Raw genomic sequence first — 15,700 nt, forward strand, 5'->3', positions numbered from 1 at the left:
TTCAAGTAAAAAGGATGCTTAGGAATAAGCAGTAGCTGACAATAAAAGAAAAGAAGATGCAATATGGATGGAGGTGACTGAAAACCAGGAATTCAAATGAACTGAAGGTACAGCCTGTGGACCAACATCCTCCTGGAATAGAAATAAATAGCATTGGTAGTTTCAATTACATCCCCTCCCCACTTTCACTTAAATCATGAATCTAGATTTACACAAGATTTATACACTTCTGACCACAAATGGGCCTCCACATACCTTCATTTTCTTGTGCCATGCACATGAAAGAGAAGGGAAAGAAAGATTTTTTTTCCCCTTTGGTTTGCCTGGACATGGCACGAGGAAACATGAGCATTAGTGATGTCTAGCTTTCTCAGTTCTTGGCCTTTGAGGGCAAACAAGGCTCCTTTCCAGGTAGACACTGACCAAAGGCCTTAAAGCATGAGTGTCTCAGTTTGTTTTGGCTGCTATGACAAAATACCTTAAACTGGGTAATTTACAAATAATAGAAATTAATTGTCACAGTTCTGCAGGCTGGAAAGTCCAAGATCAGCATGCTGGCAGATTCAATGTCTGATGAGTCCTCCCCCTTTGCTCCATAGATGGCACCATGTCGCTGCATCCTCACATGGCAGAAAGCATGAACAGCTCCCTAGCACCTCTTTTATAAGGTCACTAATCCCATTTATGTGGGCTCTGACCTCATGACTTAATCACCCCTTAATACTATCACATTGGCAAGTAAGTTTCAACATATGAATTTTGGGGTCGCACTCAGACCACGGCAATGGGAAAATTAATATTTGTTTTCATATAACAGGGCATTTGATTCTCCTCTCTGCCATTAGCATGCAACAAGCCATGTAACCTTCCAGGTTTACAGAAGGCAAACCTCAACCACTGACTCCTCCTGGGTGCTTTTTGATCCAGTAGTCTGTATGGCCTACAGGTAGACCGCTTCCTTCAATCACTGCTTGAGGAATCACTGGAGGAGGAGTCTTATTGCGATGAGAGACTGTCTGGGTCCCATGTTGTCAGGGGCAGGCCCAAGAGACAGAGAGTTGTAGGATGGGCATATAGAAGTAGGGCAGTTGCTAATAATTGTCTTAATAAGTTATTCTAGATTTGCCAGGCCTGCACCTCAGCAGTTGCAAGCCACTTTTACTTCTGGGGTATATTTTTTCTTTTAAATTATTTTTATAGTTTCTTAAATTAAAAAATTATAAGCTCATTATAAAATAGCACCTGAAGCACACAAATTAAAAGTAAGAATTTTTTTGATTTTTGAGGCAGGGTCTCAGTCTTTCACCCAAGATGGAGTGTGCAGTGGCACATTCACAGCTCACTGCAGCCTTCACCTCCCAGGCTCGAGCAACCCTTCCACCTCAGTCTCCTGCATAGCTGGGACTAAACGCATGTGCCACCATGCCTGGCTAATTTTATTTATTTTTTGGAGAGACAGGGTTTCCCTATGTTGTCCAGGCTGGTCTTGAACTGGGCTTAAGCAATCCTCTGGCCTCAGCCTCCAAAAGTGCTGGGATTATAGCATGAGCCACCATGCCCAGCCTAAAAGTAAGAATGTCTAAGTTTCTTTCCCCAATCATCCCATTCCTTCACAGTTAACACTTTTGCTCCCAGCATTCTTTACAAATTCTGCTTCTGAAACCTGTGTTACTCTGAATTTGTCCATTGTCTTTTACTGCCCTGGCCTCTAACTTTGGATACACCCTTAACTTGATGTCTGCCACAGGACCTTGAGTTAGGTTCCCATTCACAACAGCTTGGCCTTGACAGCTTCAGTTCAGCCACTTGCCATGTTTAAGCTGGGTTTTCTCCAATTTAAATACTTTCATTTTTTAAAGAGCTGCCTGGCCTTCCTCTCATCAGCTATAGAAGAGATTTAGTGGTGGTGGTTTTACAAGCTAAAATACAATCAAGAAGTTGTGAATAAGACATTCTAGCCTAGAAGGAATGAATGGTATCTCCTAAACTCTAAGGAAATATTGATTACAGTATTTAATCATGGAGAGTATGGAAGAAAATAACAAAATACTATATTAAGCATATTTATGAACTGTAACATGATTTTATGAACTATAAAACATTAACTTCATTTTCTTAAGGTACACTTTTGAGTCAAGAGGATATGATACTTTCACTCATTCACTTTTCACATTGTGAACTGAGATCCCTACATACCTCTCCCCCTTCTTTTGACATCGTCTGCCCTAATATGTTCTCTTAGGTAACTGTGATGTTAAAAGATAAATAGCCTCAAATACTGGATGTCTAATGTGAACATGAGTTGGGACATGAATTAGTCTAAATCATCTGGACATTTTGCACTGGCACACCCACCTTTGCTAACAAAAGTTTGTCTGGGATGATTTTCCCATTAGGAATCCTGCCCATGGCCCTTTAAAAATAAATCATACCTGTAGAAGATCCTTCTTTCCATGGTTATGGCAGAAAGCATGGGTCTTAGTTCCAAGTCTAGAATTAGATGACATGGATAGAATCTAGAAATACCAAGGCTGGGTAAAGAACATAAAACTGAGAGTGATCTCTTGTTTCAGGATGAGGTTCCCAAATGAGGTTATGTGATGAGACAACCACTCATATAGCAACAGGCATCACACAGACCACTTCTTAATATCTCTTCACCAGTCAACTGACATTCCTCCAACAGAGTTGTAAGGGCCGATCTATATGAGATGGTCAAGCAACAAGGCTGGCCTGATGAATGAGTGCAATTTGAGACCTTCCAGGTATCATGAACCCACCCACTCCATTATGACATCTAAAATTCTCCTACCATAAATTAATTTATTTGCATTTACGAGTCCCCGTTGAGTCACTAGGAAAAGCAGTAACTTAAGCTGTTGTCATTTAACTAAAGCATGCTTTGAAAGCTACCAGTACCCAAGGTTGAGGAATATAAAGGAAATACAAAGTAGGTGAAAATGGACATTTAAAGGGAAGTTAAGTTGTCAAAACCAAATTGCAGTCTTTTCTTTATTTTGCTTATGGTTTGCCCTCTTTTGGAAAATTTTCTTCCAAGCAGCGGAAAACCCTCAGAATGAAAAATGATGCACTGTAAGGAACCTGAAAGAGGATTAATTCTAAGCAGATACTTACATACTTTTGAACCAAAAGGAGAAGTATTTATGGATTCTAACCGTCCTGACCCTCTTTTCAACATAGCTGTGAATATCAATGACAGTGTTTAACACATATACATAAAGAAGGTCTATGTAGGGAAACCAGAGTTTGGATGGAATTCAACCAAAAGACACCCCCACTTGGTTTCAGGACCCTCCCTTCTAAGGAGCCAATTTCCAATAGAAAGCAACCAAACTTTAAAAAAAAATCATAGAGTAACCCATTAAATATTTCACAGAAACTCATTAAAACATTTTACTATTTGCTCTGATTATCATGTGGCTGCTTATACAGATGCCCATAAATCTGACTGCATTAGGTTCTCAGGCCTTTATTTCAGTTAATTTCTTCTCCCTATGTGGACTTGCCCAGGAAATGAGATTTAATGAGTCATCGTCCTCCCTGATAATCACAGGAGAGCTCATTAGCTTTTTGTCAGATTTGTACCAACTATCTGCCCCCAATATGCCTATGACTTCTTTTGAGTTAAATATGATATTACCAAAAGGGAGAACTGAAAAGAGCATTTCTGTACTGAATGCTGCAGACTTGAAACACTATATAAATATTTTTACATATGTTAAAAGGCATCTGAGAGCAAAAGGTAAGAAAATAACAAAAATACAACATTCCCTATTGATGGCATCACTATTTAGATGACACACATCATTAAAAAGAAATAAAGTTTGACATTTACATGTTTGGAAGTCTTTCTAAATCTGTTTAAATGCCTGAGCTGAGTCAATGCAAATGCAAGTTCAAAGAACAGAAGAAAACAATCTAATGGTTCTTAAAATTCGTGAAGTTTGAGGAGTTCTCCATCATGTATGTTAGGATACTTCACCAAGGTCTCCCAATCTCCTGACCTTCCGTTTTCACTGGAAATAACAAAAGGCTCTCATGTCACTTCATGGGAAAGGGGAAATTTTTACACTTCCCCCAAAGAAAAGCTTGAAGTAAACCTTCCATACTTTCATGGACCACCTTAGTGATAAAGTTGACTTGGCTTTCAGTAAAATTGCCCATAAAGGAAGATATGACAGTGATGGTAAAAACATCAGAGTGATTTTCTGAATTCTCATTTGAGTCCCTCAAGAGGTTACCATTTCCCTTCTAGGTACAGACAGAGTTACCTGGGCAAAGGTGTTGCTCCTGCATGGCTGAGTGACCACCACGGACCAGGGCCCAGCTCTTCATCAACATTTATTGAACGTTTGCAATCTACTTATCTGACAAAGGGCTAATATCCAGAATCTACAATGAACTCAAACAAATTTACAAGAAAAAAACCCCATCAAAAAGTGGGCAAAGGATATGAACAGACACTTCTCAAAAGAAGACATTTATGCAGCCAAAAGACACATGAAAAAATGCTCATCATCACTGGCCATCAGAGAAATGCAAATCAAAACCACAATGAGATACCACCTCACAGCAGTTAGAATGGCGATCATTAAAAAGTCAGGAAACAACAGATGCTGGAGAGGATGTGGAGGAACAGGAACACTTTTACACCGTTGGTGGGACTGTAACCTAGTTCAACCACTGTGGAAGACAGTGTGGCGGTTCCTTAAGGATCTAGAACTAGAAATACCGTTTGACCCAGCCATCCCATTACTGGGTATATACCCAAAGGATTATAAATCATGCCGCTATAAAGACACATGCACACATATGTTTATTGTGGCACTATTCACAATAGCAAAGACTTGGAACCAACCCAAACGTCCGTCAGTGATAGACTGGATCAAGAAAATGTGGCACATATACACCATGGAATACTATGCAGCCATAAAAAAGGATGAGTTCATGTCCTTTGCAGGGACATGGATAAAGCTGGAAACCATCATTCTCAGCAAACTATCACAGCGACAAAAAACCAAACACCGCATATTCTCACTCATAGGTGGGAATTGAACAACGAGAACACTTGGACACAGGAAGGGGAACATCACACACTGGGGCCTGTTGTGGGGTAGGGGTAGGGGGGAGGGATACCAATAGGAGAAATACCTAATGTAAATGATGAGTTAATGGGTACAACACACCAACAGGGCACATGTTTACATATGTAACAAACCTGCACATTGTACACATGTACCCTCGAACTTAAAGTATAATAAAAATAATAATAAAAATAAATATTTATTGAACTAACCAGGGGCCATAGAGCCTATCTGGAATGCATAAGATTATGCAGCTCTATAGTCCTTAGATTGAAACAAAGTCCTAGATTCAAACATCAGTGCTTCTGAACACTTTTTGGGTGGCATATCTTTTTCAGAATCTGATGGTAAAAATGGACTTTTGCTCAAGAAAAATGCACCACTCCACTACAAATGCACATACACACAAAATTTGGGGGACAGTTTCAGAGAGTTCTCAAACACTGCAATCTTATTTCTAGCCTTGCTTGGGGTTCCTGGACCTAAGATTAATCCTCTTATACAGATGACAATATCAAGGAATGTAATTAAAACTACTACTCATTGAGAACTTACTACATATCAGGCAATATTATCTCATTACACTCCCACAACAACCCTAAGAGGTACATCTGTTATTAACCACATTTTACGTATGAGGAAACTAGACAAAGATTTAAATTATAACAGCTTGTCAGAGGCAGAGCTGGAGCTTCAAACTCAGTGCGCCTCTGGCGTCTGTGCTCTGAGCCTCTAGAGTCTGCTGCCTGTCCTATAAAACATATTTTTATTCTAAAGCATGTTCACTTCTGCTTTCTCATTTAATCTTTGTAACTACCCTATAGTTACAAAGATTAGATTGTGATCTGATCTACCTAAGCTAATTCTAGGAGTTAGATTAAGTAGATATCTCCACTTTAGTAGGTGTTGAGGGCATTTCCAAAGTAGAGCGAGAGATTTGCTACCCACAGTCTTTTCAGACAACGAAGTCACAGTTGATGAAATTAAAAATTAAAAACCAAAATTCTGACTTGAGCCTTCTTTCTCCATTCACTACAGGTTTAAGCACTCTAGGAACACCATCTAATTTCTTTATTCATAGCCATCCACTGCCTTGAGGACTAAGTCAGCACGGTAAGGTTTTGAAGCCATGTGGTGATTCCTACAAAAACCTGGCTTCCTGTGGTTCGCAGAGCACAGTTTTGTTTCTACAAAGGCAAAGGCATAGGGAAGAACAGACAGAGGAGAAAAGTTGTCAATCTGCAGAATATAAGAATGTTTAATGTGCATATGATCATGCTGGACATTAGATGCATGGCCTTGTCTTTATATAGAACCCCAAATCTAGTTGAAATGTTAAAATATTTTTAAAACATTTAACCCTTCCCTTACCTGAACTCTACCTAGCATTCCTCAGTGCTCAGCTGTTCCCATTCCTCAGTGAATTTCTCCCTCCTGAAAACCTCTATCAGCTTGTACTGCCCATTCTGCACAAACATTCAATGTCAGTCATTTGTCCTGGCTTTCTGCTCCAGTGAAATGGCAGACTGCACAAACACAGCTTCAATTTACTTCTAAAAGCGCAGAGAAATACAGGGGGAAATGTAGCAAAAAGTTTCTGAAACAGAACCAAACTTGTAAGAAAAAATGAGAAAGAGAGAATAAAATAGAAATTCCCAGGTACAAGAAATGAGGAGGAACAACAGCCAGAGCTGCCATGGTGTCATCTGTGAACTCACGCTCTGGGGACTCAGCAAGGTGTGGGTCTAGATTTGGGCCATAAAGACCAGGGGCTGGGGTTGAAACACCCATTCAGCAACAGGAGAGGTGGAGAAGGCCTACGCAAGGTGGGGAATTAGAACTGACAACCGGCTATGAAATCAAGATCCTAGAAGGCACAGCAAAAAGGGAAGAGAAAGGAACTTTGTCTTTTCCCAGATCCAAGTGGTAAAGAAAGTCAGTTATGGGAAATCAAACCCCCAAGTCTATTTGACCATGCAGGTGTAGGGTCTAAACTCACATTATCCACCTGTAAGGAAATCTCAGTGAAGAAATTAAAGTAAAAACTGGATGCATACCAATAAAACCACTGAGATGCCCATCATAAGAAATGTAAAACTACTCTGTAGAAACATTTTCACAACCCCAGGAGCATGGAACATCCCCAAGATGGAGAAAACTCCTGCTAAGCTAATACTTAAAAGAAAAAAATTACAAATCACAAAAGAAAATAATTCTCTATAAGAAAGAGTAAGCAGATATAACAAACAGGAAGGTAATACACTAATAACTTAAGATAATAGAACAATCTGAAACCAGCAATAAAAATAAGTATATTTAAAATAAGTAGGCCAGGCATGGTGGCTCACACCTGTAATCGCAGCACTCTGGGAGGCCAAGGTGGGAGGATCACTTGAGTCTAGGAGTTTGAGACCAGCGTGGTCAGAATAGTGAGATCCTGTCTCTACAAAAAATTTTAAAAATTAGTCTGGTGTGGTGACACATGACTGTAGTCCCAGCTACTCGGGAGGATGAGGTGGGAGGATAACTTGAGCCTGGGAGGTTGAGGCTGCAGTGGGCTGCGACTGAACCACTACACTCCAGCCCGGGTGAAAGACCAAGGTCCTATCTCCGAAAAATTAAAAATAAAATAACTAAAGATATTAAAGAAAGATTTGAAGCCACGATACAAGAACAAGACACCCTATAATAAAAAATACATTTGGAAACAAATCATGTCATACTTTTGGAAATTGATAAAACACAGTGAATTTAAAACTAAATAAATAATGTATTAGTTTCTTAGGGCTGCCATGACAAAGTGCCACAAATTGGGTGGCTTAGAACAACAGAAATGTATTGCCAGAAATGTACTTTTAGACGCTTTTTTAAACCCAAAATCAAGATGTTAGCAGGGTCTTGCTCCCTCCCTCTGAAACTTGAAAGGAGAAGTTCCTTCCTTGTCTCTTGCAGCTTCTTCTAGCCCCCGGAGTTCCTTGGCTTGTTGCAGCAAAGCTCCAATCTTCACATGGCATTCTCCCTATGCCTCTTCACATAGTCCTCCCTCTGGGCATGCCTCTGTGTCCAAATTATCCCTTTTTATAAGGACACAAGTCATAGTAGATTAGGGCCACCTTAACGACCTCATTTTAATTTGATTACCTCTGCAACAATCCTATCTCCAAATAAGGCCACATTCTGAGATACTAAGATTAGGACTTAAATGTAACATTTTTGGAGGACACAATTCAATCCATAACATAACAGATACAACAGAAGAGAATCGATGAAAGGAAAGATAAATCAGGGAATTAACCACAATGCAGCATAGAAAAATTGATAGGAAATATAAAAGCTAAAAGTTATGCAGAATAGAATAAAAAGATTCAATATACGTTTCTTAGGAGTTCCAAAAGGAAGGAGTAAAAAGGATGAAAGAGAAGCAATATTCAGTGAGATCATGGGTGAGATTTTCCAGAATTTATGAAAACAGATCCGTAGATTTAGGAAACACAGAAAGTAAAGCAGGGCAAAGAAAAATCCACAGCTATATACATCCTAATGAAACTGCAGATCTTCAAAAATAAAATCTTAAACAAAGACAGATGAACTATAAAGATTAGGTTGGTGACAGATTTTTCTTTTTTTCTTTTTTTTTTTTTTTTTTTTTTGAGACGGAGTCTCAGTTTTGTTGCCCAGGTTAGAGTGCAATGGCGCAATCTCGGCTCACTGCAACCTCTGCCTCCCAGGTTCAAGCGATTGTCCTGCCTCAGCCTCCCAAGTAGCTGGGATTACAGGTGCCCGTCACCACACCCAGCTAATTTTGTATTTTTAGTAGAGACGGGGTTTCACCATGTTGGTCAGGCTGGTCTTGAACTCCCGACCTCAGGTAATCTGCCTGCCTCAGCCTCCCAAAGTGCTGGGATTACAGGTGTGAGCCACCGTGCCTGGCTGGCAGATTTGTCATCACCAAAATTAAAAACTAAAACAAGAGTAATCAGTGCTGGTAGAAATCTGGATAGTGTTTAACTGCTGGGGGACTAGCGGCTGGCAGGGGCCATGAGGGAGCTTCTAGGGTGCTGGCCATGTTTAGTTTCTTGACCTAGTTCTGATTACATTTCCTTGTTGATTACATGTGCTCATTACGTGTATCCATGATGGGTGTGCTTTTTCTATATGAATGCCATAATCCAATGAAGATTTTTTTTAAAAAGAGAGACCAGAAGACAAAGGAATAATGCCTTCAAAGTGCTGAGGAGAAAATAAGTCAGCAAAATTATCACTCAGGTAGATTGACAAGGTAAAGATATTACAATCAGATAAAGATTGTGAGACATTACTGTTCACCACCTTTGCTGAAAGAACCGCTAAAGGATGTATTGTAGGAGGAAGACAATTGAACCCAGAATGAAGGAATAGCATTGCAAGGAGCAATAGTGAGGCAAGAAATTGTGAGGCAAATCTAAAAAAAATACTCACTGAAAAATAGTAAAGATGACAAAGTTTTAACCAAGGAAGAATCAAAATCCTAGGGGAAAAATATCCAAGATGGTGAGAGAGACCTTTGGGTACAAAGTTTCTTGTATTATTTGAGAGAAGGGAAGAAGTATTGAATTTCAACTCTAAGTATATGTGTTAAAAATTGAATGGCCACTAAAAAGTAAGAAGTAGATATATAACTTTCAAAGCAGTATGAGGGGGGTGGGGCATAAAGAAAATTCAGTCTATCTAAGGGAAGCCAGTGAAGGAGGAAAAAAAAAAAAAAGCCAAGAAAAGTTGTTGAATAAAAAGTCCAAAGAAATTATGGCTTAAATCATGAATGGACCAAGCTAGTCAATTAAGAATAGATATTCTTAACTTTTTCTTTTAGAGGCAGGGTCTTGCTCTGTCACCTGGGCTGCAGTGCAAGTGGTACAATCATAGCTTGCTGCAGCCTTCAACTCTTGGGCTCAAGTGATCCTCCCACCTCAGCTTCACAAGTAGTTGGGACCACAGGCACAAGCGCCAGTGGCTGGTTAATTTTTTAAATGTTCTTTTTTTTTTTTTTTCGTAGAAATGAGATCTTACTATATTGCCCAGGCTAGCCATGCTAGCTTTCCTCCATCTGTCTCCCCCTCCTCAGGCTTTCCTATTTCCTGGCTTCAACCAATCCCCCTGCCTTGGACTCCAGAAGTGCTAGGATTACAGGTGTGAGCCACCACACTTGGCCTCTTAAATTTATAATAATTTAGTTATATGCTGTTTATAAGAGACAAGTATGAAATACAATGACACAAATAAGTTGAAAAGAAATGATTGGAAAAACATGTATGAGTCAAATCTAATCCAAAGAAAGTTTTTAAAGACTAAGATTAGAAAAAAAAAAAAAAAATAAGGGGAAAAATTCTTATTAGAAGAAGAGTCATTAGTATATGAGGAAAAAAAAGGACCAATTCACCAAGAAGATATAACAATCATGAGATTGAAAGAACCAAAGAACATTGCCTCAATCTATATGAAGCAAAAAATTTAGCTGAATTACAAGGAGAAATTGATCAATTCTCCACAGTGCTGGGAGATTTTAACATTGGTGCTTTAAATCTGATGAGTCTACATTTCATCTCCACAATCAAACTGTAAGGTTCTTGAGGTCAGAGTGCGTGTCTTATGCCATGTTCCCCCAATATATGAGATGCATTTCCCCTCCCTCCCAAAGTATCTGAACATATAAATGTCCCCGCTCATATAAATGGTTAAAAGACAGTGCGCTATAGGCAAGTGCAAAGCACAGAAAGTATGTACTAATAATTTATTACTGATAGTAGACACTTTTTGTAACAAGTAAGACTATTACAAGTAGAATAATTAATGAAGACATAAAATAATGGAGTCAAGAGAGAGAAAAGAAAATTGTCCCTATACTTCTTTTGAAGCATTTATGAGACACCAGGTTCATTTCTTAAATTATTCAAACTACTGTATAAACTAATTGGAAGATCATGTATATTCATTTTAAATGGGAAAAAAATGGACCTAGAAAGAATTTTAAAAGTGCAAACAGAATTTGCATTTGGTGGATATAAGACAGTAGCAATGATACTACCCCCTAGTGGCAGAGCATAGCAACCCCAACAGGATAATGAAGGTATGTGTTGTATATCCCATGGGTCATTTTCCTAACAAAAGTATTAAGCTGTAAGAAGTATTCTGTAGATCATAAAGTTGATTGTAGTAAATGTTCAATCAATGTCTGCTGTTGTTATTGTCATCACTACAGTGTCATCAGCATTTTTGTTATGCTCAGCCTATAGCTAAGTGCCTTTGTGACAGGTATCAATATCCAGGACATCAGCTGTGGCCAGGGCTACAAGGTCACACCACATAGAAAGGGCAATTTATATTAAGGGAACAGCCTTCAGCCACTTTTTTTTTTTTTTTTTTAGAGCGGAGCAGTGTAACCATCAGACACCAGGAGGCTTCCTGGCCTTCTCAGTACATCACGCAATGGCAGCTTTTTGAAGATCAGTAACATGAAGTCTGTCCTAAAGAACATTGAAGGTATCCCTCCTGGAAAACAATGCTATTTTCTTATGGTCCACAAGGAAAAGAAAGAAGGAATGTAAGTATTCCAGTTACAACTCACTAGGATCCATCCATGTGTAAATACATCCCACAAGGTGGATTAAAAGTATATAAATTTGTGTTAAAAAGAAGGTAAAATGGTTATTATATAAGATGCTGATATTAGGGGAAAATTAGTGAAGGATACGTAGGAACTCTCTGTACTCTCTCTGCAACTTTTCTGTAAGTCTAAAATTATTCCAAAATTAGAAGTTTCTATTTTTAAAAATTGATGGTCAAAAAGAAAAGAAGAAGGTAAAATTCTTATTGTATTTGTCAAGAGATTCACTGACAGCAAATGCCATAACCTATAGGTAGCAGACAGCAATTTTATTTTAGTTGGAAAAATGTGGGTCCAGAATGGAATTTCTTGAGAATGTCCAGAATTTCTTGAGATGTCCATTAGGCATTCTTCTAAACCAGTGCCCCAGTGCAGGCTTTGAGCAATCTACTTCTACAACAGAAAGGCAGTTGTAGAACCCCTGCATAGCTTGTCCTACAAAGAAAATAATACTCTTTATAATTTGGGCCATTTCCCGTAAGGTTTGGGTCATTTTTGTCATGTGCCTTTTAGACCAGTCAGGTGGAACACTTAACTATGTTAAATCATTTTTTCAAGAGTTATGACTAAACGATTGGCAAAGGAGCTGGAGTTGGAGGTAAACACTGAAGAAATGTGGTCAAAGGCAATTTGAAGTTGACCTGGTGGTCTAAAGTGCAATGACCAAACTATTCAGCTCTCAATGATTGATGTGTGGACTTCACACAAAAGCAAATGTGGAAATTGTGATTCCAATCTCAACACAAATCCAGTCAGTTGCTAGTCTAACCTGTTGGGTTATTTTTAAGTTTTAAAACATTGTTGATAATTAAAACCACAATGGGCTGCCAGGTCAAACCCATGAGAATGGCCAAGATAAGAGAACTGTACAATACTAAGTGTTGGCAAGGGCATGAAATATTTGGAACGCTCACACACTGCTGGTGGGAGTATAAAACGGAGTAACATGCTGAAGAACCATTTGGCAGCTTCTTATGCATCTACCGCATGACCCAGTAATCCCACTTCTAGGTACTTACATAAAACAAATGAAAACACAGGTCCACAAAAGCACTTGTACACGAAGGGCAGACTTTTTAATTTTTTTTGAAGTACTATTTAAAAATTGTTTATTATAGTTCATGTTTTTGGTGTCTTATCTAAGGAATTTTGTTCATCGCCAGGGTTATGAAGACTTCCTTTTCTTCTAGAACTTTTGTAGTTTTAGCATTTATATCTAGTCTATAATCCATTCTGAGTTAATAAAAACAGACTGATACCCAAAAGTTCATGGGAGCTTTATTCATAATGGCCTCAAACTGGAGACAATCAAATGTGCATCAGCAAGAGAATGGATAAATACAAAGTGGTATATCCAGACAGCAACAAGGAATAATACACATTGATACAATAGTTGATACACACAATGACATGAATCTCAAAAATATTATGTTCAGCAAAAAAATGTAGACACAGGAGAGTATTCTGTATGTTTCCATTTGTCTGAAGTTCAACAACAAGCAAATCTAATCCGTGGTGATAGCAGTCAGAAGAGCGGTTGCTGGGGCTGGCGAAGAAGGTGGTAATAACAGGAATGAAGCACCAGGAGACTTTCTAGGGAGATGGCAATGTTCCAAAATTTGTGGGGTTTGTTTGTTTAAGACAGAGTCTCGCTCTATCGCCCAGGCTGGAGTGCAGTGGTGCGATCCTGGCTTACTGCAACCTCTGCCTCCCGGGTTCAAGCGATTCTCCTGTCTCAGCCTCCCGAGTAGCAGGGACTACAGGCACCCATCGCCACGCACAGCTCATTTTTGTATTTTCAGTAGAGACAGGGTTTCAGCATGTTGGCCAGGCTGGTCTCAAACTCCTGACCTCAGGTGATCCACCTGCATCGGCCTCCCAAAGTGCTGGGATTACAAGCGCGAGCCACCATGCCCAGCCCCGAAACTTGTTTTGAGTGGTTCCACAGACATTTTGACAGTTACACAGAAATTCACTGGTCAAAAAATTTCCACCTATCTACACTCAGGAACTGCACATTTCGTTGTACGTAAATTATACCTCAATTAAAAAAAAAACTGCTGACTTCAGCGCTGATATTTGCTCTGCTAAATTTAATCCACTAGAAAAAACCTTCCAAGGCACAGGGCCACTTTCCCAGTAAAAGTATTTTCAGCTTTTGGGGCCTTGTCCTTGTGCAGTATTGTTGCAGAGAGAAGCTACAAAGCAGAAAGGTAAAAATCAAGGTGGTACAGAGTTACATCTCTGAGAGAGCAGCTAACTTTTCTGGTTCCTGTATTCACAAAATGACTAACAGCAGGTTCTCGAATCTCTGCCACTTGCCCTCTCTAGGAATAGTTGAGTGACAATGAACAGAATTCATTTTTTATTAACTTACTACCAAATAGTTTTATTTTCAAAACAGGAACATCCGGCAGAATCTCAGCTTTCATTTTGAATTCAGTGTTCCCGCTTCATCCATTATTCATACACACTGCACTTTCCTGGTTTGTGATTTTACTAAATTTCTTCATTTGAATTATGGCCTTGTGGTCAACAGCGGGCAATATATTATTCTTATATAATTTTTAAATACAAAGGCAAACGGCACGGAACAATTAGAATCGATGGCTTGGGAGTCTGGCACTCAGATGTCATAGGCAAATGCTGTTTTCTTGACTTTAACCTATGGGTTCCACTTCATGTGGGTTGTATTTTTCATACATCAGGAGTTTTTATAAATTTCCTATTCAATCCAGCAGCCCTACTTTGTTCGCAAAATATAAGCAAAACAAATATGTCAGGGTAATGATGCCAGGACTCTCCCTTATTGAAAAAAGCAGTTTATTAATACCTTATTGCTACAAGCTAGATCTTATTATCATCTTGGGTCATTTAGAATCTTATTAGGTATTCTGCTGGTGGATGAATAATCCTGTGATAAATTCTTTGCCATGTCCTTCACAGTTGTCATAGCAGGATCATAAACAGCATTTATAACAATCTAACCTAGAGGAAGCGGCTGACAATGGTCTGCTTAGCATGCAGGAAATATTCAGATCGGCAGTGTCTGGTTAGACACAAGCCCACAGGAGAGCTCCCAAAGTTAAATGTAGCATGGGTTTCTCTGAAGATTCCCCTTCAAAAACGGCAGGAGGTCAGGGACGTGGGGACCAAAAACATTTTGGAAGCCACAGATAGTTTCTTTCCATCAGATCTGCCGGGCGGCAGGGGAAGGCCAAAGCACAAGCCATTTTGTTCCTGACGGGCTATTCAGGTCTTGATTCCCAAACTCCAGATCAAGGTACAAAGTATTTTACGTCAACTGTTGTTTTATTCTCACAGATGAAATTGTGATTTGCCTGTATTACTACTGTGTGTCTAATTAGTACATTTGATGAGAAGATGAATCTGAAGGTGAACGAGATTATGGGTATAATTCCCAGCACAAACTAGGTGTTTTTACTCTATTCCAAAACTGTAGATCTCATCACTTATAAAAACCCATGATGTATACATACATACATATATATATATATATATATTCCTATTCACATAGCGAGAACCATGACTGGAAATCCGCCATGACTCTTCCTAGAAAAACCCATTCAAGAGGCAAATGAGCCAGTCCAAATTTCTCCAGCTTCATCTCCTATCATTTCCTGCCACTCACAATTAGTTCACAATTAATCTCTTATTATTTGCTAAACAAGTCTGGGCCTTTTATAAAAGCTGTTGTCTTTGTACAGAATGCCCTTGCTTTGTTTTTCTTTGTCAGACATCCTAAGTTGGTTTCTCCCAGAAGAACCTGAAACAAGGATTTGAGGGAAAGTAACTTATTTTGGAGGTGATCTCAGAAGCAGAGACAGGGAAGATAAGGAAACCAGTAATGTGAGCATTACTAAGCAGGTTGTCACTGTGGGCGACTGAGGCACAACCCCCCCGGGGGACCTCCCAGTGGGAGGATGGGGTATTT

General features: G+C 39.2%; 1 long non-coding RNA gene across 1 annotated transcript in view; it reads left to right on the forward strand.

Annotated features, from left to right (window-relative positions):
* LOC105370839 (uncharacterized) overlaps nt 1–15,700 on the forward strand; it is an 89,243-nt gene that overhangs the window by 1,917 nt on the left and 71,626 nt on the right. Inside the window, exon 2 of the long non-coding RNA XR_932310.3 lies at nt 11,507–11,682. This is a non-coding gene — a long non-coding RNA (uncharacterized LOC105370839). The remainder of the gene's footprint in view (nt 1–11,506; nt 11,683–15,700) is intronic.

The sequence above is a fragment of the Homo sapiens genome, chromosome 15, assembly GCF_000001405.40.
Source record: "Homo sapiens chromosome 15, GRCh38.p14 Primary Assembly".
Classification (NCBI taxonomy): Eukaryota; Metazoa; Chordata; class Mammalia; order Primates; family Hominidae; genus Homo; species Homo sapiens.